Raw genomic sequence first — 27,567 nt, forward strand, 5'->3', positions numbered from 1 at the left:
GGGTCTCTCTCTGTTGCCCAGAGATGAGGGCTCTCCCTGTTGCCCAGGCTGGTCTCAAACTCCTGGGCTCAAGCAATCCTCCTGCCTTGGTCTCCCAAAGTGTTGGGATTACAGGCGTGAGCCACCTCTCTCAGCCAATTTAATAAGTTTTAATGTTTCATAACAACTGTTTCCCAGGTCATAATATGAACAATTTTTTTCCTATTTCTGTTTTGAAGTCAGGCAAGAATTAGCTTCATTTAAAATGTCCTTATTACATTTAATTGAACATTATCAATTACCTTTATGAAGAATAACAGAGGAACCGTAAAGCTGTATTTCAGCAAAACATTTTAATTATAATTCTGAAACCTAATCAGAAAAAAAATGTATTTAGTACAATGGTAATCCATTAAATACAACTCATCATTGTTAGGCTGTCTCTGTTATGGAAACTATCATGTTATGAAAAGGTTATGAAAAGGTTAGGAAACTATCATGTTATGAAAAGCTAATATTGAATCTTTTAAAAACAACTGAACTTTACCATTGCTAGAGATTTTTTGAAAAGCTGTAGATACACACGTTGGAGATAAAACAATCAAAATTACTTCCTGAAGCTAGTTTAACAGGTTCTAAATGCTAAACAAAAATTTCATGAAATGACTCAGGTGATAAGATTGTAAAAATTTCTTCCTGAAGCTATTTTGGCAGCCTCTAGGGATGTGAAATTCCCTAAGGTGCTCTAATGGGAAAAGTCCTAGAATAAGAACCAGAATCCTTGACTTCTACTCCTGCTAATAAGCTAAGTGAACTTAGGTCAGTATTTAACCTCCTACAGTTTGCTTATTTGTTCATTTGAGAGACTCACACTTTCCTCACTACTTCTATGTATTGTAGCCAGTTTCAAAATGCTGTGTGAAATTTCCCATATTATCTAATCATTTCCAACTGATTATTTTCTCAGTTACTCAGAATTTTTACTACTATCTGTGTTTCTTTGCACACAAGGTGAATCTCCCAACTCAATAAGAGATCATTGCCATTTCACATTTCCCTGCCTCCTGCCTGCATGCACACTGCTATTATGTCCCCTGGATTGTCTTTCAAAAATCCTCATTGTTGTAGGTAAAGAAGGGACCCACTCTGTCTGAGTAACTGACTGCGGAGCCCAGCCCAGACAGACACACATCCCAAGTCTCTGCTTCATCTGTCCTAGAGGAAACTGGCTCGTGGGGAATAGCCACAGTGGGTCTGATGGCCCGGCAATCTCCTGCAATTTTCATAGGAGGTGGCCCTGAAGGAGAGGCTGCCCTGGTGACTGTCACCGGAGGACCCCAGGGTTCTGGATAGACAGACATCCCAGTATCTTCAGGAGCATAGTTACAGCTCGAAAGGCTCTTCACCTCTCGCACACTGTCACTGTATTTCATAGCAGGGGGCTGGTAGGCCTGGTAGGACACTTTAGTGGTGGTGGTGATCACGGTTTGTAGGGCAGGGGCACCTGGTGGTGGAGTCGTGAGGTACCTGCAGGGAAGCTCTGGGTTATAATAAGGGCGAGTGGCCATGGCCTGAAACTGCCCATGGTTAGTCCTTTCCACAAGGCTGGGTTTTCCAAGAGCTGGTTTCCAGCCATGCTGTTTGTTGGTGAAATCAAAGCTTCTCTCATAGCTGCTGTATGAATTGACATTACATTGTAGTGTGTTCAGATGAACCCAGTCTGTGTCATTAGGGATACTGGTGGAATCCTTATAAAGGGTGGGATATGGGCTTGAATTTGTATAACCAGGGTTTGCCAATTCATAGCTGCAAGGTGGCCTAGGCAAATAGATTCTTGGGCTTGAGTATTTCTGGAAGGGTGGCATTTTGTCTCCTTGAAAGGTGGCTAGGTCACAGGTAGCTTTGTAAACATCAGACTTTGGGAAGGAAGGGCAAGGCTGCCCTGGAATAGGGAAGCTGGTTTCAGTAACTATATCAAAGTCTTCTGGATTTTCCAAGGGAGGTATGTTGCTGAAATGACCACTGCTGTCTTGATTTTCTTCTGCCTAGAAAAATGATACAAACATAGACACACGCTATGTAAATCGTGTGGACACCCTCACCTGTAACAATAGCCTAGAAGTAAGTAAAAACAGACATCCATGTGCTGGGCTCTGTGTTGTGAACATGGCACTGCTCAGGTACGTGATGTAAGCACGTGGTCCAGGGGTTGCTAAGCTTGGGCTCACTCAGACATAAATACCAACGACTGAATGACAAAGGTCCATGGTAGCCAGGTAGGATGCTTCTGAGTGGCAGATGGTCCTGTTCTCACCTATACTGTCTTCCTAATAGTGGAGACTTAGGAGCCACACGGGCCTGGGTTCAATTCCTGACTCTGTCCCTCACAAATTGTACAAGCCACTTAACCTCTCTGAGCCTCAGATCCTTCATCTTAAAAATGGAACTTAATAACAGTAACCTCATTATAAGGTTTCTGCAACCATTAAATGTGTGAAACTCTTAGACCAGTGCCTGGCACATAGGAAGTGCTGGAAAATGTCAGCTTCTGTTATCCTTACACTAACACTCTGCCTGCTTGGCGTGCTTTGGTTGAAAAGCCAAACTGAATTAAATTGCGCAGAGAAATTTTATCCATTCTTGTGGATGAAATAATGGAAAGGACCCTCTCAAGGGTGCACTGTTAACTTCCTGTTGGTAGGCACATATTTCTATCTTTATTACTGTTGCATAATCGCCCTTATATTAGGATGTCAGCTCAGCACACTGACATATCAGGACTGTATCATTGCCTGTAGAGATTGTTGCTTTTTGTTTTAAGGAGAAGGGATTAGAAACCCTGTCCAAATGTTGATTTAATGATATTTTGTTACAGACGTATAATTTTCAGATGAAATCAAACCCTTGTAATTAACGTATGACCTTCATATTTTGCATAACGATCAGCGTATCTTGGGATGAAAATGAGCTGAGACCACTGTGCACTATCAGCTCCCTGTTACCTCGGATTCTCGAATTCTCTTTTTCTGGGGTTGGTAGAAAGAGGCCATTTGTCTCTTGATGGCGCTTCTTCTAGCTTCTGTCTCTGATTTGCTCTCTGGTCTTGGATGATCATGAACTCCCTTGGCCTGCGATAACGAGAAAATGAATCATACATTTGTGCCTCTAAAGGAAGCTGACAATGTTGCCCAAAAATTGATCATGCCTTTCCCAACATCTCAAGAGTTTAGTTTTGTTTCTTTCAAAATGACAGAAAAAAAAATTCTTGAACAAATAAAACAGGCTCAAGAATTGACATCTGAAAAGATCACCTGCAATCCCTTCACTCTATTAAAAGAACTATAACTTGGTTTACCATCTGTGTACCTTAAAGAGCACAAAGTAGTGAGTGAATTTCTAGGCTCCCGCTAGGTCCCTGGGGAGCTCCAGCACCTATTTCTGGCCACTGGGGCTGTATTTTGTTTGGCCCAGGGTTCCCAAGGCACACGACAGGTGGTTTGGCCTTTGTGGTCTGATGAAAAGTATCCATCACAAATTGTGTTCTCACCTGACCTACCTGAAAAAAGATCGCGTTGCCATCAAGCCGCCAAAAGTTGGTTACGGGGTATCCGCTGTGCCCTCGACAAGGAATCAACTCCAAAGCAGAATGACAGTTAGGGCATGCCTTCTCTGCAAAGCCCAGAAGGGAGAAATATTAACCCTGACCCCAGACCCTTCTGAAGGAAGAAGGGGAAAATTAGCTGGGAACAAAGAACTCATGCTCGGGCGCGGTGGCTCACGCCTGTAATCCCAGCACTTTGGGAGGCCGAGGCGGGTGGATCACTTGAGGTCAGGAGTTCAAGACCAGCCTGACCAACATGGAGAAACCTTGTCTCTACTAAAAATACAAAATTAGCCGGGTGTGGTGGCTCACGCCTCTAATCCCAGCACTTTGGGAGGCCGAGACAGGCAGATCACCTGATGTCGGGAGTTCAAGACCAGCCTGACCAACATGGAGAAACCCTGTCTCTACTAAAAATGCAAAATTAGCCGGGCGTGGTGGCGCATGCCTGTAATCCCAGCTACTTGGGAGGCTGAGGCAGGAGGATCGCTTGAACCCGGGAGGCGGAGGTTGCAGTGAGCTGAGATTGCACCATTGCAGTCCAGCCTGAGTGACAGAGTGAGGCTCCATCTCAAACAAACAAACAAAAACAACAACAACAAAAAACTCATGACTCCAAGGTCACCCTCTCCCTGGCCCCATGTCCTCACTCTGCTGTTTCAGCCGTGCCTTGTCGCAGATGGCCGGCCTCAGCTGCAGGCGGGAACCGTCGGGCAGGGTGCAGGCCTGTGTACACACCACCACACCCAGGCACGACTTCTTGAGGATGTGGCCATTGTGGTTGTTGGTGTTGCGCATGGCCCAGCCGCTCAGGTGACGCTGTGCCTTCTTCTCATCGCTGCTGTAGATGAAGCGCACATAGCCGTCAGGCCACTCTCGGAATTGGTCAAAGAGGGCCAGCTCCTGGAAGAGTGCAGAAGGAAGGGTGGTCAGTCTATCCAGTCCAAACTGCACACATCATGCTCTAAAATTTCTCTGAGCACATTAGGATACAAACCAGTTCTTTTTAAATCCAGTAACGTCAAATTCCAAAATGCCACTCTTTCTATGTAAGACTTCCTGACAACCAGGTAATAATTAATGTTTATATAGTGCTTATCTGTTAAATGCTATACATGTATTAGTTCATCTAGACTTCAAATTATAGGCAAACAATTATTTCCAATTTGCCGATGAGGACATGGAGGCCAGAGAGGTTAATCGACTCGCCCAAGGTCACATCACACAGCTAGCAAGATCTGGATCCAGGATTTGCACCCTGGCAGTCCCATTCCAGAGCCTGTACTTCTTACCACTATGTTATATCACTTCTTGGTGTGTTTAAATGTTGAAAACATTTTTAAGTTAGGTATCAAAGTACCAGGGGAAAAAGTGATTGGAATGTTCTATCACTGAAATGCAATTTAACTGGTAAATATCTTTAAGTCAGTGCATTTTCTTCAAAAGCACTTGGCTCTGTATGCCAAACCTGTCAGTCACATTAGCAGTGGCACCCAGAGTAATGTCAGAGAGGAAAGAACAGCTTCCCTCCCTACTCTCAACTTGGCTCTCCAAGTTTAAAAGGGTACTGCAATGAGGGACTTAAGCCATGAGCTTTGGGGTGTGGGTGAGCTTGTCTGGCACGGGACTGCTCCCCAGAGCAATATGGGACTGTCATTCTCCTCAACAAAGAGCCACATGGCTGCAATAATAAGTTGTATCTAAAATACTGAGCATTGCCTTAGTATTCATATTTGGTAGTCTTTGTCAATTTAATGCATTATTTACACTGCAATAAATGTCACTTTTGCATATAAGTTTCATTGAAAAATCACCCTTTACTGAGCACTTCCTTTTTTCTTTTTTTTGAGATGGAATCTCACTCTGTCACCCAGGCTGGAGTGTAGTAGCATGATCTCAGCTCACTGCAACCTCCGCCTCCCAGGTTCAAGTGATTCTCCTGCCTCAGCCTCCTGACTACCTGGGACTATAGGTGCATGCCACCACGCCTGGCTATTGTTTGTATTTTTAGTAGAGATGGGGTTTCACCATGTTGGCCAGGATGGTCTTGATCTTCCTGACCTCATGATCCACCCACCTTGGCCTCCCAAAGTGCTGGGATTACAGGCATAAGCCACCATGCCCGGCCACTGAGCACTTTCTTTTATGTAATGTTTAGGGCTGCTTTCACACTACAGTGCAGAATTGAATATTTGGAACAGAAACAGTATGACCTGCAAAGCCATATTATGCAATATATATAATTCTCACAACATCTTTGCAAGATGGACATCTTTACTCTTGTTTACTAAATAAGGAAGTGGAGGTTCAATAGATAACCTTTCACAGTGGCATAGCTGGAATATAAACAGAAGATGGGTAGCAGCCAGACCCAGTAGCTTTGCTGGTGTAATAAAGGCTCAGAAGAGTGTATAATAGCAGTAAGCCATTTGCATCTCCTCCCCACTCTTGCCACTCAGGAAAATTAGATCAAACATTTGCAAAGCTGAAGTATTCACAGTTGGAAAATTCAGACTTGTATACATCATTAATACTGCACATTCTAACAGTAATAAGGTTAATGGGTGATTTTGTTTCCAAAATTACAAAGATATTGTTGAAATCATTATTACTACCATAGGTATTATTTATCTTTTCTCTGAAATATTACAATTGACATGATACATCAATGTAAGGTAAGTCACAAATGAAATATATAATGATGTGCTATCAACTCCAAGCTTATATTAAATGCTAATATCTTTGTTTTAAAAGTGAATATTTTAACTTAAGGATCTTAGTAACAAATTGACAATTTTCCAGAAAACAGCATTTCTTTAGCTCTCCCTTAAGGATGTAGACTAGGCCCCCATGCCTCACACGAGCTACTGAGGTAGTGACCCTGGCAATGAAGCCACAGAGATTGTATTTTTAAAATCAGTACAAGAATAGAGGATGTCAAGGATTGGGTTTCACTTGCTCTCAAGTGTTGGCATGTTGTGTGTGTGTGTACATACACACACATAGACACTGAACCTGATCGTAGACCTGGAGGAGAGTTTGAGATGGTTATCTCACTCTACCACTTGATGACAAGTGAGTAAGTAGCCTGAGACTAAGGCAAATTCAAGGACTCTCTCAAGGTCAGACAGGTAGTTTAACTTGCTCACTCGGTTACCCAGAGCAGGGCGATGCTAAGTTTCTTCACTTCTCCATGTCCCAGTGTGCCTGGCCCGTTTGAGATATTACACACATGCTTCCTGCTTAACAACCAGTCTCCTAAAAAAAAGTTCATATTGACATGGGAAGTCTAGCAAATGCTTGAGAGATGAACCATAATTACATTACTTGGATGTGACTTTTCTAAAATGCAAGATATGATTGTTTCCTGTGAAGATGTACATGGACAGAAACAGAATGAGATGCACTTGCTGTACTGTGGTCCACTTTCATGAAAATGGTACCATGTGACTCTAAAGTAGGCAGACTTTAAAACAAAGGAGTGGGCCAGGCACGGTGGCTCACGCCTGTAATCCCAGCACTTTGCGAGGCTAAGGCGGGTGGATCAGCTGAGGTCAGGAGTTCGAGACCAGCCTGACCAACATGGAGAAACCCAATCTCTACTAAAAATACAAAATTAGCTGGGCGTGGTGGCGCATGCTTGTAGTCCCAGCTACTCGGGAAGCTGAGGCAAGAGAATCGCTGGAGCCTGGGGGATGGAGGTTGCAGTGAGCTGAGATCGTGTGATTGCACCCCAGCCTAGGCAACAAGAGCTAAACCCCGCCTCAAAAAACAAACAAACAACAACAAAAAACCCCAACAAACAAACAAAAACAAAGGAGTAAAACACACCTAACCTACTACAAATATATGGATCCAAAAAAGTGCTGACCTCTATGAGAGGCGACACAATGTTGCAATGAATTGTTATTCATCTGAACACCTATCAGACACATTTTAGTTGCGGACAAAATGACCCATCTCTTTTATCCCTGTGCCACAACATTGCTGGAAGCCCACATCTGCAAATGGCAGGGAAGCAACTCTCATTCTACACCCCCCACCCCCTACAGCCAGGACTTCAACATCACTCAATTTTGGCCCTAACCAGTGTGACTAATGATAATTGGTCATTCTCTGGAACTGGCTTCAAACCACCCACTTCATTCACCACTTCATCCACCCCAGTCATTCTTTGGACTTGGCTCCAAACCATTTTTGCTTTATTGAAATAAAGCAAAATACAACAAATTCACCCTAAAAGAATGATGATTTGCTTGTCATTAGAGAAGAAGTAAGTTTTGGGTACAGGTGGCCTTGTTGGCATGACTATGGGGCCTCCTTCCTCTGAGCAGTTAGGGAGGTCTGAGCAAATTGCTCAAGTCGGGCTACTTGTTTTAAATTTAGGTCATTAGATTCACTTTACAGTTGTACCTCAGTTTTGCTGCATGAGAAGCAGTGGTATTTACATCTGCTTAGATTTTCTCCTTAGCTTCCTCATGGATTTAAAGTAAATGAATAAGGAGAGAGGCACCTAATTTCTACCTTGGTTAAAGGGAAGTGAAAGGACAGGCGTCCCGCTCTCCCCAAGACTGGGAATGTGGAGCCTGACCAACATTTCCTGCTGCTTTGCTTGTGATTTCAGGCAAGCACAAGGAAATTGCTGGGAGAAGACACATTTCTTCTTCTTCTTCTTCTTCTTTTTTTGAGATGGAGTTTTGCTCTTGTTGCCCAGGCTGGAGTTCAATGGCGTGATCTTGGCTCACCGCAACCTCTGCCTCTCGGGTTCAAGCGATTCTCCTGCCTCAGCCTCCCGAGTAGCTGCGACTTTAGGCATGCGCCACCACGCTGGGCTGATTTTGTATTTTTGGTAGAGACGGGGTTTCTCCATGTTGGTCAGGCTGGTCTTGAACTCCCGACCTCAGATGATCCACCCGCCTCAGCCTCCCAAAGTGCTGGGATTACAGGTATGAACCACAGCGCCCGGCCAAGAAGACACATTTCTAAACCCAACTCAGCCTTTTGTAGAGTCCAGTTTTCTTTCTACACTTGAGAGGGCCTCAGAAACCCAGAAATTTTGCGGGTATGTGTGTGTGTGTGTGTGTGTGTGTGTGTGTGTGTGTGTGTGTGTGTGTGTGTATGGTCCGTCCGCAGACTCTTCAAGAACTCGAATGCCATTCTCCCTCCTTCGGATGGACAGCGCCCCGCGTGCCCGCACACACCCGGTTCACTTACCTGAGGCATCTGCGGATCGTTGATGTCCCAGCTGAGCTGCATCCCGTAGGAGCACACGCCGACCGCTTCCTGCACCGCGGCCGCCGGCATCTGCCCAACTCGCTCGCGCTTTCCGCCCAGGGTTCTGAAAAATAGAAGAAAAAAGGACAGGTGCGCCAGGTGGGTTTTTTTTCTTCTCTTTAAAGAAGAAAGTGGGGTGTGTGAAGGGGAGGTGCAGAGAGAGAGAAAGAGAGAGAGGCTGTTTAGATATCTGGAAGCTGGGGACAATGGTTATGGACCCGGGCGGGGCCTTGTCCTTGGCCGCGGTGCTGAACGTTCTCCACCCGAACGGCAGCATCGACCTCTGGCAGCTGCCCCCTCCTTTATAAAGATATACCTCCGGGGGGCTCCGCCCTGTCTCGCCTACCTCGCTAGCGCCCACGCTCCAGGGGCCGGTCGCCCCCTCCACCACAGTCCCAGGAACGGAGGTGGAGGTTAAACTCAGCCCTGGAAGCAAATGGAAACTGCAGCCAGAGGGTGGGGGTGGAGAGGGTAAGTAGGAATGTATCCTTTAAGTTTAAAACCTTATTATTTTCTTCTTTTCTTTTCTTCTTTTTTGTCTCACTCTGTTGCCCAGGCTAGAGTGCAGTGGCGCCATCTCAGCTAACTGCAACCTCTGCCTCCCAGGTTCAAGCGATTCTCCTGCCTCAACCTCCCGAGTAGCTGGGAATACAGGTCCGTGCCACCACCCTGGCTAATTTTTGTATTTTTAGTAGAGACAGGTTTTAGCCATGCGAAACCCTGACCAAGCTGGTCTTGAACTCCTGACGATCTGCCCGCCTGGGCCTCCCAAAGTGCTGGGATTACAGGCGTGAGCAACCGCGACCGGCCTATTTTTTTTCTTTTTTCTAAACGCGTCCAGCTTCCCTGATTTCGGAAAGGGGCTTAGATGGAGGCTTTCCAGCAAAGTCCCCTGAGAGCCAACACTCAATTCCAGGAGAGCATGGGAACCGTGCGTGGGCCCCTCTGCCGTCCGCGTGCGCCCTAGCCTGAATAACCGCGCCCACGCCTCCTAGTTAGGGGTCAGCCCATTTTGGGCCTCCACTGCCGGCTCTTCCCCTAACTATTGTGAGTGTCTCGCAGTCTTGGCTCTGCTGTTTGGGACGTGCCAGGGTGCGCCAAGCCTCCGCGTATGCTCGCGAGCCCAGGCGCCTTCACGCTCCCGGGGACTTCGGAGGGACCTGGCCCTGCAGGAACGGAGTCCTACAAAGTGAACCTGGAGGAGGTGGGGGGCGGAAATGAGCCCGGGGTAGGTGGGAGCCTGGGGTAGGTGGGAGCCTGGGGAAGGAGGGAAAGGGGAGAGGGGAAAAGTCCCAAAGAACTCGCTTTCTCCACTGCTTTGGCTCCCTCTGGGTCTCAGCTTCCTTATCTGTTTATCTGTTAAATAAGAGGTTGTGGTTCGGCGAGCTCTCAGTTGCCACCCACCCGAACACAAATCTTTTTTTTTTTTTTTTTTTTTGAGACGGAGTCTCACTCTGTCTTCCCGGCTGGAGTGCAGTGGCGCAATCTCGGCTCACTGCAACCTCCGCCTCCCAGGTTCAAACGATTCTCCTGCCTCAGCCTCCCGAGTAGCTGGAACTACAGGCGCGCCATCGCGACCAGCTAATTTTGTATTGTTAGTAGAGACAGGGTTTTACCAAGTTGGCCAGGATGGTCTCGATTTTTTGACTTCGTGATCCTCCTGTCTCGGCCTCTCAAAGTGCTGGGATTAAAGGCGTGAGCCACCGCGCCCGGCCCACAACTCTTAAAAAAAAACTTCACTGATATAGTCTTGGAAATATCACGACGAAATTGAATTTACTCCATTACAGTCTTGGGAGGCTTTGGAGGACTAGAGAATCGCGGTGGTGCGGAGGTGCGCAGGACAATGTGGGTTCTCCGGGGCTGGGACGAAACCTTCATCATCTGAGCAGCCGACTCGCCCAGGGCTACTCCGGCACATGGAGACCCTCAGTATATATATATATAAAAAAAACAAAAAACAAAAAACAAACAAAACAAAACAAAACCGATTGAAGTGACTAAAGTCACTCTTTGACTACCCCAAGGCCGGATTCTTGGCGGCCAGGGGAAAGGGCTTCTGGAATTTATTGCCCGCGTCCTTGTTTTGCAGCTGCACGCTTCCATTCCCAGCCCCAGCCAGAGAAGAGGAGCCAACTCCTCACGGCAGATCCCTTGATAGAGGAGGATGAACCGAATCCATGACCCTCCAGACCCGGGAAGCGACGCACCCTAGGCCTTGGCACCGCAAAGCCCGTGCTGAGCGCACGGACGGGTGCTGCCCGGGACTCGGCCAGGAGGGCGCCCATGCCAACGCCTCTTGCAGGATTAGTGCCTTCGGTTGGCAAAAGGCGGATAAAGGAAGAGCGAAACCACATCAGGAAGCTAAGGGTGGTCCACGCTCCCTGTCCTTTTACTTCCCGCGCCAAAGGCACAGTGAGGCTTGCTTAGAAAAGTCCATCCCGCGATTGGGCGCAGTGGCTCATGCCTGTAATCCCAGCACTTTGGGAGGCCGAGACGGGAGGATCGCTTGAGCCCAGGAGTGCAAGACCAGACTGGGCAACATGGCGAAACCCTGTCTCTTCGAAAAAAAAAAAAAAAAAAAAAGCCGGGCATGGTGGCGTGTGCCTGTAGTCCCAGCTACTTGGGAGGCTGAGGCGGGAGGATCGCTTGAATCCAGGAGGCAGTGGTTGCAGTAACCTGAGATAGCGCCGAGCCTGGGCGACAGAACGAGACCCTGTCTCAAAAAAAAAAAAAAAAAAAAGGAAGGAAAGAAAGACAGAAAGAAAGAGAGAGAGAGAGAGGAAGGAAGCAAGGAAGGAGAAAGAAAAGAAAAAGAAAAAAAAAAGAAAAGGAAAGAAGAAAGAAAAAGTATCCCAGTCGGTCAGAGAAGCCTGCCAGTGGCAGCGGACCAGCGAACTCTGTTGGGAAGAAAGGCCAACTTCGAGCAGTTCCTCGCGATTTTTTCCTCCTTTATCTTCTAGCTGGGGTCCTCCTCCCAGTCAAAGCCGAAGGGTCCTAGCAGAAGAAAGTGATTTGTTCATTCCCAGCCTCCTTTCTCCCGAAGTTCTCCCCTCCTAAAAGGTCCTGTCAGTCAAGGTTTCTGATTAAAATCACTCTCAAATGGTCGCCACTGAGGTCTAGCTGGGAACGAAGAGATCTGTCTACTCTTCACCCACGAGTTTCATTCACAGATTTTTCATCTTATTAACTGTCTGCCAAAGGTCCCCGAAACTCCTGTTGATTCAGTTGCTTTTCGTGTTGTTTTGTCTTCCAAAATTGAATGAAAATTTATTGATTATCCATTTTAATTATAGTATTTCATTAAATGTTGTAGTCTAAGATAACTTATCCTTTCAAATGTTCTAAAAATAACTTTAAAATGGTGATTTAAAGTTACCTCTGAAAATGCATAGAAATTAATTTTTGGTCTTATTGCAGTGCTAGAATAGTTCTTGTCTCTGTGCTTTTGGAATGTTCCTAGAGAGACCTGACCCGTCAAAAACATAAATAAATAAAACTTTTTTATGTAAAAGGCAAATCAATTAATTTCTAAAGGGATTCTGGTATCCAAAGAAATGTCATAGAGCCTCTACTATATTTAGTTTGAGAAGAATTAGAGTATGCATTTCAAGTTGCCATAAATTATATTAAGACAAAACATGTTAGTAAAAGAAGCTAATCAAAGTAAAAAAAAAACCAGATAAAAGGTATTTTGCCTATTCTGTTATTTTTAATTTCTCTTAAAGATTTGAATGCATTGCACCATAGACTTTGGAAGGACATGTTTTCCCCCAAAGCCTGAAAATAATAGATGATTAAGTTTTCTATCTAATATTATGAAAACTCTAATTTTTAAATATTCTCTTAAAATTCATTTAAACTGTAGTATTTTGTTTATTGCTTCTTATTATTCATTGTTTCTTTCTTGCCCTGGTATTATATTTGTATTGACTCACAATAGCTTATACTCACAGCTGTTCCTGTCTTGATTACTAGTTTAATATTACAAAAGTCCATTCATTGAAAAGGAAAAAAACTTGCGTTTGAATTTCCTTGGTTTAGATTAAAATAGGTAAATTAATGTAAGAATGTTTACATTATACTTTCCAGGAAATTGATATGACAGGCTTTGACATAAACATTGTTTTGAACGGACTAGAAATGTGTGCAAGTCCTGGGCTAACAGGGGTTCTGGTTTTGTTATGTTTTGCTTTGGTGTAGACAAATATCTTCCGTACATATTATGACTTGAAATACTCACAGGTCTAGTTATAATACAAGTTGATTTTTACACAAAGGATGTTTGGATTGGAGGGGTCTTTTTTTTGTTTTTTGTGGAAAACTCTAGTCCAATTTAATTTTGCCACCGTGTTCACACAACTGGCCACCTATCCGAATCAGCCTAGCCATTGGTACGCATACTTGTCAGGTTAAAGGAAATAGGCAAACAAAGAAACAAAAAAACAAAAACAAAAACAAAACTATTTGCTTTGATTAAAAAAAAAAATTCCCCTTCCTCCCCACCACGGTACTTAAAAAACAACCACCAAACACACTTTGTGTGTGTGTGAAATCAGGAATGTATTAATAATATCGGGTACAAGTCTGGTTACCATAGGAAAGGGTTCGGCTTCTGTCTGCACACATCAATGGACCAAAAACTGCTCCTCTGGCTGTTTTTTTTTTGAGACGGAGTCTCACTCTGTCCCCCAGGCTGGAGTGCAGTGGCGAGATCTCCGCTCACTGCAACCTCCGCCTCCCGGGTTCAAGTGATTCTCCTGCCTCAGCCTCCCCAACAGCTAGGATTACAGGCACGTGCACCGCGCCCGGCTAATTTTTTGTATTTTTAGTAGAGACAAGGTTTCACCATGTTGACCAGACTGGTCTTGAACTCCTGACCTCAAGTGATCCACCAGCCTCGGCCACCCAAAGTGCTGGGATTACAGGCGTGAGCCACCGCGCCTGGCCGCCCCTCTGGCTTTTTAAGGCGGGGCAAAAACTTGGAACAGCTACCACAAAGCGAACGCCTATCTGTTTGGAATTTCGCAAATAAGGAACGTTTAAATGACGTAGTTCACATCCTTTGAGTGCTGGCTTTCTCTTAAAGGGTGAGTGCGTGCGCCCAGGTGGTTTGGCCTGTGTGCGCTAGTTACTTGCACGCGCTTCTTGAGTCTCAAAACACAGAGCTCTAGTAAACTTCAGGGGGCGGATTCGTCAATTACAGTTGCGGAAGAAGACTCGACTCGAAGAGCGGTCCGCCACCAGGGCTCTTTCGGCAGCGCCCCCAGCGGGCGGGGCTCTTGGGCGGGGAAGCAGGAGAGGGCCGACCGAGCGCAACAAAGCTGAGCGGCGCGTCGCTTCAGGAACGAAGAAGCCTCGTTATGCAAGCGGTGAGTGACCCCCGAAGGGCCCGGACCTTCTGTCCACAGTGCTAGGGCGCGCGAGGGCGCGGGGTCCCTGGGGCTCAGGTTCTGCCGCCTTGAGGTGTTCGCTCAGAGACCGGGTGCTGGGCATAGTCCCCCGCCACCTCCTTGGGTTTGCTCGGAGTGTATTGGCAGCCTGCGGGGAGACCAGGCAGAATAGAAACCTCGGATCCCTAGCTAAATAGCGCTCAGGGAAAGGGGAACCGGAGAATTCGTGTTCGGAAAGCAATGAGATAGTTCTTTTCTAGTTGCTTTGCGTATTTTCCTAGCCGGTTTTCCAGCCCTCTTTCCACCTTGCTGCGTAGAAAGTGCAGAAGTGTTAAGCAACCCCAAGTGCTGGGACTTCATTTAACCGAACGACAAAGGACAGCCCCTAAGATAAAGCTACAATTATTACTTATCAATAAATAATAAAAAAAAACACATGAAGTTTGAGCCCACCCAGGGACGCCAAAAACAACAAACAAAAACCACCTGGGGCGTGTTTCTAACATTCTTCTGCCTGGGTTCCTGGTGGTAGAAATTCTGATGTAATTGGTCTACGGTGGGCCGGTAGTTTGTTAGTTTGTTAGTGAGGACGCCAGGTGATTCTGATAGCCAGGGGTAACTGCTTGCCTAGATCCAGGAACTCACTCTTGTTCTCCATAAAATCCATCTGTCATCTGGCGCCATCTTCCCAGCCATGGGGAAACAGATTTGGGACAGAAACCTTTCTAACATCAAGCTACGCTTAAATTCAGAGCACTTAAGCATAACCTCCTCACCCTCTCCATCCCTGTTACATTGAAAGCTGCCATTCACTGAGCCATTTTTATGTGCCCAGGCACTATGCTAAGAACATTACAGACATTCTGTCAGTCAGTCCTCACTCCAATCCTTCCATATAGGTGTTACCATCTTTTTTTTTTTTTTTTTTTTTTTTTTTTTTTTTTTTTTTTTTTTTTTTGAGACGGAGTCTCATTCTGTCGCCCAGGCTGGAGTGCAGTGGCGTGATCTTGGCTCACTGCAACCTCTGCCTCCCGGGTTCAAGCGATTCTCCTACCTCAGCCTCCCGAGTAGCTGAGACTACAGGCGCGCGCCACCACGCCAGGGTAATTTTTGTATTTCTAGTAGAGACGGGGTTTCACCATGTTGGCCAGGATGGTCTCTGTCTCTTGACCTCATGATCTGCCCGCTTCGGCCTCCCAAAGTGCTGGGATTACAGGCGTGAGCCACAGCGCCCGGCTATCATCATGTTTTTTAAATGAGGAGACTGAATCTCAGAGAATCTAACGATCTTTTCTGCCTAAACCATCCCACTTTCTGATTTTCCTGTCAGGTTCCTACCCACAAAAGCTGCCACATGATCTTCACAGAAGGGGGATACCTTTCTGTGTACTAGAGTGGCTCCAGAAATTCCAGAAACAGGAAGCATTTCTTTGGAATTTGCAAAGTACTGACCACCAAGGCCAGAGAAGGTTGAAAGGAGGTAGAAATAAAAATAAGCAGAGCATCTCTGCATACGAATTGAACTGAAGGAGAGATAGGGCCGTGTCTATAGAGAAAAGAGGTAAAGAAGCTTAACATAAAGGCTCCCGGGAATATTTTCTTTGGGATGGGAAGTATTTCCCACTAATTCAGAATTTGTTGACAAAACTTAGAAATTATAGATACGTAGCATAGTGTTTATTTGATGTCAGTTTATGCTATGAATTAACACCCTTTTTTTTTTGATACGGAGTCTCACTCTGTCACCCAGGCTGGAGCGCAGTGGCTGGATCTCGGCTCACTGCAACCTCCACCTCCTGGGTTCGAGTGATTCTCCTTCCTCAGCCTCACGAGTAGCTGGGTCTACAGTCACGTGCCACTGCGCCCAGCTAATTTTTGTATTTTTTAGTAGAGACGGGTTTCACCATATTGGACAGGCTGGTCTCGAACTCCTGACCTCATGATATGCCCGCCTTGGCCTCCCAAAGTGCTGGGATTACAGGCGTGAGCCACTGCGCCTGGCCTAACACCCAATTTTAATTGTAGCTTTAGCTGTTCCTCCTATCTCACTTTTGCCTCTACTCAATTATCCACTAACACAATGGTTCTTTTTCTTTGCCTTTATCATTTATTTTTAATTGACACATATATTAATTGACACATAGTAATTGCACATGTTAATTGGGTGTAGTGTGATATTTCCATATGTGTATACAGTGTGTAATGATCAAATCAGGGTAATTATGCATATCCATCACCTCAAATATTTATTTCTTTGTGTTGGGAATGTTCAAAATCTACTCGTATAGCTATTTGAAAATATACAATAAGTTGTACATTATAGTCACCTTGCAGTACTATCTTACTCTAGAACTTACTCCTTCCAGCTAGCTGTAATTTTGTGTTCATTAACTAACCTCTGCCTATCTCACTTCCTCTTTTCTAGTGACCACTATTCTCTCTACTTCTATGAGATCAGCCTTTTTTTTTTTTTTTTTTTTTGAGATGGAGTTTCACTCTTGCTTCCCCAGCTGGAGTGCAATAGTGCAACCTTAGCTCATTGCAACCTCCGCGTCCCGGGTTCAAGCGATTCTCTTGCTTCAGCCTCCCCCGTAGCTGGGATTACAGGCATGCGCCACCCTGCCCGGATAATTTTCTATTTTTAGTAGAGACAGGGTTTTGTCATGTTGGCCAGGCTGGTCTCCAACTCCTGACCTCAGGTGATCCACCCACCTCGGCCACCCAAAGTGCTGGGATTACAGGCATGAGCCACCGCACCCGGCCGAGATCAGCTTTTTTAGCCTCTACATGTGATCAAGAACATGCAGTGTGTCTGTCTGTGCCCCGCTTATTTCATTTAGCATAATGTCCTTCAGGCTCATGCATGTTACCATGAATGACAGGATTTTGTTCTTTTTTCTGGCTGAAAAGTATTCCACTGTGTGAATATACCACATTTTCTTTATCCATTCATCCACTGATGGACACTTAAGTTGATTCCATATCTTGGCTATTATGAATAGCGCTGCAGTAAACATGGGAGTGCAGATATGCCTTTGACATACTGATTTCTTTTCTTTTGGATATATCTCCAGGAGTGGAATTGCTGGATTTATGATAGTTTTTTGAGGAACCTCCATACTGTTTTCCATATTGTCTATACTAATTTACATTCCTACCAACAGTGTACAAGAGTTCCTCTTTTTCCATATCCTTGCCAGCATTTGTTGTTTTTTGTCTTGATAATGGCCATTCTAACTGGGGTAAGATAATATCTCATTTTGGTTTTGATTTGCATTTTCCAATGATTAGTGATGTTGAGTATTTTTTCATATACCTGTTGGTCATTTGTATGTCTTCTTTGGAGAGATGTCTATTTAGCTTATTTACCCATTTTTAATTGGATTGGTTATTTTGCTGTTGAGGTGTTTGAGTTCCCTGTATATTCTAGATATTAATGGCTTGTTGGATGCATAGTTTGCAAATATATTCTCCCATTCTGCTGGTTGTCTCTTCACTCTATTATTTCCCTTTCTGTAAGAAGCTTTTTGGTCTGTATAATTTCATTTGTCTATTTTTGCTTTCATTGCCTGTGATTTTGAGGTTTTCTCCATAAAATCTTTGCCCAGACCAATGTCCTAAAGTGTTTCCCCTATATTTTATTCTAGTAGTTTGGGATCTTAAGTGTAAGCTTTTAGTTTATTTTGAGTTGATTTTTGTATATGGTGAGACATGGGATCTGGTTTCATTCTTCCACATATAAATATCCAGTTTTCCCAGCACCAGTTATTGAAGAGACTGTCTTTTCCCCATGAATGTTCTTGACACCTTTGTCAAAAATCAGTTGGCTATAAAAAAGTAGATTTATTTTGGGTTTATCTATTCTGTTCCATTGGTCTACATATGTGTCTGTTTTTATGCCAGTACCATGCTGTTTTGTTCCTATAACTTTGTAGTATATTTTGAAGTCAGGTACTATGATGCCTTAAAGACACTTTTATTTAACTTTATTTTACAAGCTCTCATTCTGAAAATGGTTTATTAGTTCAAAGCCTTTTTACTTCTACTTTATAATCATCATTATAGAGTTTGTTTATTTTGTGTGATTATTTATTCAAATGATGTTTGCTTTGCTTCTTCTGATAGTTTGTACTGTATTTGTCTTAGACCATGCTAAAGAAGGTTGGATAAAGTTTTTCTCTTTTTTCTAAGTACTATTTTACTTAGACCTATAATATGAGCAAACAAAAATTTCTGTTCAGGAAAACAATACAAACCTTTAATTTTTTTTTTTTTTTTTTTTGCTTTGTGTTTAAAACTTGAAATGCATTTCTTTGAAATAAAAATTGTTTAAAAACATGTTTTTATTCCACACAGAAAAACAAAGATGCTTTGCAGCCTATTAAGGAAGACAGGACTGGGAAGGCCCAGGATGATGCTTTCTGGGTAAAGATCAAGTTTCTTTTATAATCTCTCTCTGTGTGTGTGTGTGTGTGTGTGTGTGTGTGTGTGTGTGTGTGTGTGTGTGTATGTGTATATGAGTGTATGTATTCTTTCTAGTTCTGTGTTCCCTGGGTCATTAGCAAACTTGTTCCTCCAGTTGCTCAAATCAGAAGCAGAGAAATCTTTACTTCTCCTTCCCTAATCTCTCATGTCCAATTTATTACTATATCTAGTCAATTTACCATTAGCTATCTTACCAATATCCTAGTCTAAACTATCTTGTGCCCTGTGCAGATATCTTGTGCCCTAAATGCAGATAGATGATACTGAACAAACTAGAAACAACGTCTGCCTTTATGGAGCTTATAGACTGGCAGAGAGCCAAAGAAGCAGGAAGAAAAAGAACAGGGTAATGAGATGGGGAATAATTGGGAATGTTGAGGAGGCACCTGGTCTACGTAAGATAAGGTGGTCCTGGAAGATCTACCTGAAAAAGTGATGCTTAAGCTGTGATCTGAGTGGAACCAGCCATGTGGAAAGTGGTGGGGTGAAGTAGCCCAGGCCTAGAACAGCCAGTTCAAAGGCCCCGAGGCAAGGAAGAGCTTGACTTATCCTAGGACTCATTAGCAAGGAGGTCAGACTGTCAGAGATCAGATCATGCCACGTTCTGCGGACTAAAGCAAAGGATTTTGGGTTTATTTTTAATGCAGAGGAAGCCATGGCAAAGTTTTGTTTTGTTTTAACGGGATCTCACTCTGTTACCCCAGCTGGAGTGCAGTGGTACAATCATGGCTTACTGCAGCCTTGACCTCCTGGGCTCAAGTGATCCTCCTGCCTCAGCCTTCTGAGTAGCTGTGACTACAGCCATGAACCACCACACCTGGCTAGTTTTTCATTTTTTGTAGAGACTGGGTCTCAATATATTGCCCAGGCTGATGTCAAACTTCTGGGCTTAAGCGATCCTCTTGCCTTGGCCTCCTAAAGTGCTGGGATTACAGGCGTGAGCCCTGCGCCTGGTAATGGCAGAGTTTTAAGCAGGTAAAAGGGAGTGAATTTCAGCTGAGCAATCTCACATAAGTTTGTAACCTTTCCTATCCTTGCTACTTGTATCCTGAGATAAAGAACCTAACCTCTCAGGACCGTGGTAAGGATTAAATAATAACATCTGCAGAACACTTAACACACTTGGCACAAAAAAGCTCACTATGTGTTAACTTAAAAAAGAAAACATTCTGTTTAAATGGAATAATTTTAAATGCTGTTTTCCCTTTTAATTCAGTACTAAGAATAAGTGGAATTGTGGGCTGTATATAGTAAATTGCTTCCTTATTAAAATAGTATTGTATATTTAACCTGTAAGATTTTTTTAAAGATAAAAAATCTTTTATAGTTTAAATGTTTAAGGAAATGTCTGTTATTCAAGTATATATACTTTTTTTTTTTTTTGAGACAGAGTTTTGCTCTTGTTGCACAGGCTGGAGTGCAGTGGTGCGATCTCGACTCACCGCAACCTCCGTCCTAGGTTCAAGCGATTCTCCTGCCTCAGCCTTCCAAGTATTACAGGCATGCGCCACCACGTCTGGCTAATTTTGTATTGTTGGTAGAGATGGGATTGCTCCATGTTGGTCAGGCTGGTCTCGAACTCCTGACCTCAGGTGATTCGCCTGCCTTGGCCTCCCAAAGTGCTGGGATTACAGGCGTGCGCCACTGCACCCGGCCCTTCAAGTATATGTACTTAGAAGCATGTCTTAGCTAATGTGCAGGCAGAAAAGATGAATTTCATTCATTATGGTCAATTTGCATACTTATTATCTATAATTATTAGTATTATTTTTCTTCCTTCTATTATGATCATTTATGTCACTTAGTGAGTGATCATAGGCTTGAAATTTTTAGTGTTTTAGAATTCCCAACATTGCTGAGGATCTTCACCTAATGATATCTGAAACTGAAGTGTTGTTTTCCTTGGGTCAGTGGTTCCCAGACTTCAGCATGCACGAGAATCACGTGAAAGGCTCTGCCCTGAGTGTGAGTGCTAAGAAGTCCCCAGGTGATGCCAGCGCTGTTGGTGGTCTAGGAACCACATTTTGGGAACTCTTGTCTTAAACCAACGGAAACATCAATCATTTGTGAAATGATTGTTTACTATTCAAGATAGAGATCTCCATTCTATATTTACCCTATATTATTTCACACTGAATTCTTATTGATAATGAGATCAGTTAGAAAATTACTATAAAATAAATGTTCTTGGGGAAAAAGTAATTTGCAAACTATCATCTTTCCAGCTTCAATCACTTATTACGGATGCATTCCATGATAAAGGATTTCAGAAAATAAAAGAATACTTTCAACAGAAAGAGAGCCACTTTCCTCAAAAATATAATCGTCTTCTATTATACCGTCTTGACAGATCAATAAATAAGGCAAGTTGGTTTGCTTTGTGACCAAAATACAAATGTATAATTATTTATAAGTGTTTTAACTTAGTGTGGTTTATACCTAGGAACTAGATAAAAATGAATTTCAGTCTGTGTCACTGTTGCTGAAATGTATTCAGCGATTCCTCGTAGATGGCCTGAAAGAAGATGAACCTCTGCTAATTCGGCAGGGACTGATCCCAAAGATAAGTGTCCTATTTTAATTTTATATGGCTTTGGGTAACTTAGAGAACTTAGGTGGATTTAGTTGTCTAGTTAAGTTTGGTATTTTCTGTTCCTTTGAAATCCAATTTGAAAAGAAATTGATATCCATTCTTATTGCTTCTGTCTAACCAAAAATTAAATTCGACATACATTTCCTGATGTACCTGCTATAGAAGGCACTTTGGGAGTGCACAGGATCGAGTCAGACACAACCACTGCCCTTGTTGAGCCTATGCAGTAATTATTATTTTAAATTATTTTAGTGAATTTGGGGGAAAATGAGTAGGAGTAGGCTCTAGAACTATTTTAATAGACTTTATTAACAAGATTAGACCTAGAAAAATGATCGTCAAAAACTTTTCTTTGCCCTTGTAACACCTCACTTTATCCATTTTCTAAACCTTGGATGAATCTGAAAAAACAAATAGCAGAAACATTTTTGCTTATTCAAAGTTACCCAAATTATCAGCTTTTATTCTTTTAAAAATAATAACCAAGAGATAACATGGCGAGTGCCTTTATAACGGCATCTGGAAGTAAAGCAGAATCTGCAACATCTCTTGCTGCAGTTCCGCTCTTTTAGTGGTGAGGTTTTTGCAGCCCAGAGGCAAGTTTGTTTATTGACGAGGAGATGTGGGGAAGAAGTAGGGTGGAAGGATCATCTGGCTGCTAATAATGTCTTTGATTTACCCCTTGAGCTCCAGTACCAGAAGTTTATTGAGGCCAGATTGGGCCAAGATCTGTCTTTGCCCTTTGTTACTCTAAAATGCGTCTAATTATGAAGCTACCCCCTCAGGAGAGAAAGCAAACTCCAGGCTTTCCCAGACTCCTCTCAGGGACTTTAAAGTGTTTGCAGGGGGAATTAAGGACTGTGTTTATGCAAACCGTATATATTTCGTTCTGCATATAACCCCACTTGACCTGTTGATACGCCAACTTCTGCAGATAACAGGAAGCAGGGGAAAGGAGATAAAAATCTCAAAGGAAATGAGGCAGAGATGTCCTAAGTGTACCTTGGAACCCTAAGCTGACCTTTTGGGGTATGAATAGGACTTCTTCTGCGCAGAGGGGTACCTCCTTGGCCAGTTGCCATGAGAGCACACCTGAACAAAGGGGCACGAGGGCCTTTATTCCTGACGCAAGTCCTGCCCCTGTACCCTTTCCCCATTGGCCGGGGTCGGGTCGTACAATCTAATTCCGGTTGGCTAAACATTTCCTTTTTTTCTTTTTAGATAGGGTGGGCATGTAAGAGAAAGTGGAGAGGAAGGGGAAGGGGTGTCTGTAATGAGCTAGAAAGTTAGTCCTCTTTTCAAATAAGGAAAGGAATGTGAGCTGGTACTGATAACGCTTGCTACCGTGGCGTGCCTGGGCATCTAACAAAGGCAAAAAGGAGAAAGGAGAACAAAAGGGGGGGGTACTATGAATTAGAGAATAAAAGATTGATCAGATTATTCGAAGAGAAACCTCATCATATTCCACATCTCGAACTCCCAACCTCAGATGATTCCCCTGCCTCGGCCTCCCAAAGTGCTGGGATTACAGGCGTGAGCTCCCGCGCCTGGCCAACTCTATACTTCTAAAGACAACTGTGTTTGCAGACTGAACACAAAGTGTGCTCGGAAGTTCTTCTACTACATAGAATAAGAATTCCTGGCACGGCGGCTCACGCCTGTAATCCCAGCACTTTGGGAGGTTGAGGTGGGCAGATCACCTGAGGTCAGGGGTTCAAGACCAGCCTTGCCAACATGGTGAAACCCTGTCTCTATTAAAAATACAAAAATTAGCTGGGCAGTGGTGGCACATGCCTGTAATCCCAGCTACTTGGGAAACTGAGGCAGGAGAATTGCTTAAGCTGGAGGTTGTGGTGAGCCAAGATGGTGTCACTGCACTCCAGTCTGCGTGACAGAGTGAGACCCTGTCTCCAAAACAAAACAAGCCCTACAGAAAGGAACATCTTTAGTCCTGTACCGTAAAATCCAGGAGGATTAAGCAACTTTTCTGATACCATATTCCTAAGAAGTCATGGCTGTTGTGTCTGGCTTCTGTAGTGATACAACTGTGGGGAGAGCTGGGATGTCTGTTAGACAATGTGTGACCAGGGCACATAAATGGGTTCAGTGAGAACTTCCTGTTCCCAAGTATTGATCAGATAGTGCAGCCTTTCTGCCACTTCTGTATCTCCTCAACCAGTATATTTGGGAGGGTGCTGGGAGGGTGCTGGGAGTGCGATAGGCTTTGGAGGGATAGATGGAGTGGTGACAAAAATGTATTTAAAAAGCATAGAATTTTGAGTATGAACATAGGGAGGGAGAAAATACAGCCTTAGCAGTGAGTTCTGCTGCGTAGAGGGACATTTCTTTTCTTGTGCTATTGGAGCAAAGCTTCCTTCAGCAGGTGGATGATTCAATCTAGTATAAGTATTTGTCTGATTTGAGACAAAAGAAACCTTACTTGGAAGATAGTAATGGCTTTCAAACCTTGCTGTACATTACAGTCACCTGGAGAGCTCTCACAAACGTTCTTAAACCTAAAATAGAAAACTCAGGTGGGGGTGTATCACCAGTGATTCTGATTACTGGGTCTGGGATAGGTCCCAGGCTTCAGCAGTGGGGGATGTTTCCTAACTCCCCAGGTTTTCCTAATGTACAGCCAAGGTTGAAAACTGGTTTTATCTTCAGCTGGGCTGTCTCAGGTTCTTGGCCCAAAGTATACAGAGTTTTGAAGGCCTGACTCCTGCAAGAGTTGTTCGTCAGAAACTCATGTGACTGATGTCATGTTCAGCTGATAATTTCTAACTATGCATGCGGAGTTTTTCTAATTTTTTTTTTTCTAAGAGTGACCAGTCTCAGTTAAAATCATGGGAAAAATAAGATGGCTTTTGCTTTATTGAGGAAATACTGTATATTCTGGAGTGGGGGAGGAAAGGTTGCAGAAGTTTATTTTAAATCATTCCAATCCCAGCAGTTTAATATGAAATTGGATATGTATTCCTATAGGAAAAAATTCTCTAATTAGCTGGAAGCTTTTTAACGAAAGAAAGATACCTAGGCCTGAGGCATATTTACTATAATCAAGAATACTTCTGAGAACTTTCCAAATTCTGTGTCTTCTTTGATAGTTTGTTTTCAGCAGATTCTCAGATCGCAAGATTTTTTTTCCACCTGTGCTGGGGAGGCTCACTTATCTCTTTTTTTTTTTTTTTTGGAGGTGGGGTCTCGCTCTGTTCCCCAGGCTGGAGAATAGTGGTGTGATCACAGCACTTGCTAAAGTGTTGACCTTCTGGGGTCAAGTGATCCTCATACCTCAGCCTCCCAAGTAGCTGGGACTAGAGGTGTGCACCACCACACCCAGCTAATTTTTATATTTTTTGTAGAGACGAAGTTTAACCATCTTTCCCAGGCTGGTCTTGAACTCCTGGCCTCAAGTGATCCACCTGTCTCGGCCTCTCAAAGTGCTGGGATTACAGGCATGAGCCACTGCGCCTGGCCTCATTTATCTCTTAAATGTTCCTCACTAGTCCCTTTATATGAATTTCTGACACGGATCCTGGCTGGGACTCTTATTTTGTGCTGATCTCTGAGAGCTTACTTATGACAGCTCTGTAGTAGTATGGCACCATCCTGAAGTGTTCTGGTGGGAGGCCTCAGAGCCAGGCCTCATTGAAATGGAATGGAATGGGAAAAGATCTTTAAGATTATTTTGTTGTAATGAGAAAATTGTCTTGTGCAATTTTATTGAATAGGCAGCATTTAGTCTTATGTAGTTACGTTAGTGTCCTCCTGTGTACCTAGTTTCCTGGTTTGAAAGAACAACAGGAATTCTGACCTCGGAAGGCCTAGCCTCAGACACGTCGCTGATTTGTGTTATAGAAGATTTCTTTGACACTGCATTGGTAAGGATGGGATGGATGCTTCACTGAGCAGATGCCATTGGTAATTGGCAGGAATCTTCAAGTTATTTATAAAACATGGTTTTCTATAATATGTAAGTTTTGTTAAAAGACTCACATGGCTGGGCGTGATGGTTCACACCTGTAATCCCAGCACTTTGGGAGGCCGAGGTGAGTGGATCACCTGAGGTCAGGAGTTCGAGACCAGCCTGGCCAACATGGTGAAACCCATCTCTACTAAAATACAGAAATTCGCCGGGCGTGGTGGTGGGCGCCTGTAATTTCAGCTACTTGGGAGGCTGAGGCAGGAGAATCGCTTGAACCTGGGAGGCGGAGCTTATATAGTGAGCCGAGACCACGCGATTGTACTTCAGCCTGGGAAACAAGAGTGAAACTCTGTCTCAAAACAAAAGACTCTCGTGTTTTATTATTAGAATATTATTAATATGTGATATAGTAAGAAACATATATAACCGATGTTAAAAATGAGAGGTGATTTATTATCATACAAATATATTAGTCACCTGATTGAGAGTGATATGCACATTTTAAGGAAGTGATTAAGGCCCAGATAGGCTTTCTCTAAAATGCTTTTCTTCTGTAAAGTCAATGCCTGCCTGTTAGAGAAAGTTAACACTAATACATTCACATTACGGTTTATCATGCTGTTTTAAAATAATATGAGCTTTACTTTTTCTTTCTTTTTGTTAGATTATTTCCAGGAGTAGTAGTGAAGGTAAGTATATTATTGGCTACTAATTGGCTATTAATTTTTCATTAATAGAATATTCTGGCACAGAGAAAAGAAAAATGATATGTAAAAGTAAAGTGAGTTTAAACATTTTATTTGGATTTATTGACCACCTTATGGTCATCATAGTGTCATTTGGAAATGCATTTCATTGTAGAAAAAAGTCTTGTATTTGTCTGAGAAGCATTTTTATTTCGCTGCTCCTGACATATGGCTAGCTCTGTTCAGGTAATGGAAAGTCACTTTTGTCATTCAAATATGCAAAAATTTAGCTACTACTGATTTAACTTGGAGCTGATTCAGATGCCTTTCTCTGTCTTTCAAGAGTGTAAAAGGTAAAATTTTAGAAACTTTGGAGGATAGATTGATTTTGTTCCATTTAGCTCAAATTAAAGGTAATTATGCTGGGTGTGGTGGCTCACGCCTGTATTCCCAGCACTTTCGGAGGCTGAGGAGGGAGAATTGATTGCATCCAGAAGTTTGACACCAGCCTGGGCAACATAGTGAGACCCCCATCTCTACAAGAAATAAAAAATTATTGGGGTGTGGTGGCCTGCACCTGTAGTCCCAGCTACTTGGGAGGGTGAGGTGGGAGGATCACTTGAGCCCCAGAGTTTGAGGCTGCAGTGAGTCATGATCGTGCCACTCCACTCCAGCCTGGGTGACAGCGTGATCCTGTCTCAAAAAAAAGTAATTTGACATTTGAATTATGATACCATGGATTCAAAGATGCACTTAAATATTTAAACATTTTGGAAATTGGAGCCATCTTGATATGTCATTTTTCTATGTTACATGTTTTTAGTTTTCTTCTGAAAGGCTGTCATTAATTGACACTACATTCTGCAATGGATGGTATCTGGTAGTTGAGGAAATTCAGTACCAGAAGCTTAAGCATGCCCTGTGCTTGGTTGACTTTAAAACTTGGTTGACTTGGTTGGTCCTCATAATTCAAGTCAGTGGTTCCAAACATTTTCAAGTCAAAGTTTTATGATCATCACAATGACAGTTGCTGTCTTTAAAACTGGTTGATAAAATGCACAGTGGTAAACTACTTTGATTTTTGTAACATTTTAAAATAAACTTGCTTTGTATTAATCCCAACAATATGTATATACTGCATATTTGAAAAACAGTGCAGATGTGAGCTATATATTCACTCTACGGTCATTGCTTGGTGCATTTATGGATTCACATAATGCTATAATGACTTTCATTGCCCCTGGTAGAGGAAACACTGTTCTAGATGACTGTGTTAGTCCAATTAGGCTGCCATGACAAAATGCCATCAATTGGGAGGCTAAGCCAACAGACATTTATCTCTGGAGGCTGGGATTAAGAGATTAGGGTACCAGCATGGTTGGATTCTGGTGATGGCCTCTTTCTGGCTTCTTGCTGTATGCCTACATGGTGGGCAGAGACCTGGCTTCTTGCTGTGTGGCTACAAAGTGGACAGAGAGCCAGAGCCAGAGCTCTTTCTTTTTCTTTTCTTTTCTTTTTTTTTTTTTGAGACAGAGTCTCACACTGTTGGCTCAGACGAGTGCAGTGGCACGTTCTCAGCTCACTGCAACCTCTGCCTCCCGGGTTCAAGCAATTCTCCTGCCTCAGCCTCC

The 27,567-nt window shown here is 43.4% G+C and overlaps 2 protein-coding genes across 2 annotated transcripts in view, besides 2 other annotated features; one reads left to right on the forward strand and one right to left on the reverse strand.

The window, feature by feature from the left end:
* Nucleotides 314-9,132, reverse strand: GCM2 (glial cells missing transcription factor 2). The gene is made up of 5 exons (NM_004752.4): nucleotides 8,795-9,132; nucleotides 4,231-4,483; nucleotides 3,536-3,648; nucleotides 2,982-3,107; nucleotides 314-2,024 (listed from the first exon to the last, which is right to left on the reverse strand). Exons 1-5 carry the CDS (start codon nucleotides 8,882-8,884, stop codon nucleotides 1,086-1,088), a joined length of 1,521 nt encoding a protein of 506 aa, NP_004743.1. The 5' UTR covers nucleotides 8,885-9,132; the 3' UTR covers nucleotides 314-1,085.
* Nucleotides 9,027-9,321: a silencer, noted in NCBI's record as "tiled region #8043; K562 Repressive non-DNase unmatched - State 23:Low". NCBI's record gives its function as "represses a minimal TATA promoter and a strong SV40 promoter by Sharpr-MPRA in K562 cells {active_cell/tissue: K562}" and the evidence as "EXISTENCE:reporter gene assay evidence [ECO:0000049][PMID:27701403]".
* Nucleotides 13,310-14,078: an enhancer, noted in NCBI's record as "H3K27ac hESC enhancer chr6:10886452-10887220 (GRCh37/hg19 assembly coordinates)". NCBI's record gives its function as "activates a minimal SCP1, AML or CMV promoter by ChIP-STARR-seq in primed H9 embryonic stem cells {active_cell/tissue: H9 hESC(primed)}" and the evidence as "EXISTENCE:reporter gene assay evidence [ECO:0000049][PMID:30033119]".
* The window catches only part of SYCP2L (synaptonemal complex protein 2 like), an 87,258-nt gene continuing 73,833 nt past the window's right edge, over nucleotides 14,143-27,567 (forward strand). Inside the window, exons 1-6 of the mRNA NM_001040274.3 lie at nucleotides 14,143-14,226; nucleotides 18,604-18,672; nucleotides 20,958-21,095; nucleotides 21,176-21,295; nucleotides 25,102-25,206; nucleotides 25,915-25,939. Of these exons, the coding sequence (NP_001035364.2) occupies nucleotides 14,218-14,226; nucleotides 18,604-18,672; nucleotides 20,958-21,095; nucleotides 21,176-21,295; nucleotides 25,102-25,206; nucleotides 25,915-25,939 (466 nt within the window). The 5' untranslated portion in view covers nucleotides 14,143-14,217. The remainder of the gene's footprint in view (nucleotides 14,227-18,603; nucleotides 18,673-20,957; nucleotides 21,096-21,175; nucleotides 21,296-25,101; nucleotides 25,207-25,914; nucleotides 25,940-27,567) is intronic.

Source organism: Homo sapiens, chromosome 6, assembly GCF_000001405.40.
Source record: "Homo sapiens chromosome 6, GRCh38.p14 Primary Assembly".
Taxonomy (NCBI): Eukaryota; Metazoa; Chordata; class Mammalia; order Primates; family Hominidae; genus Homo; species Homo sapiens.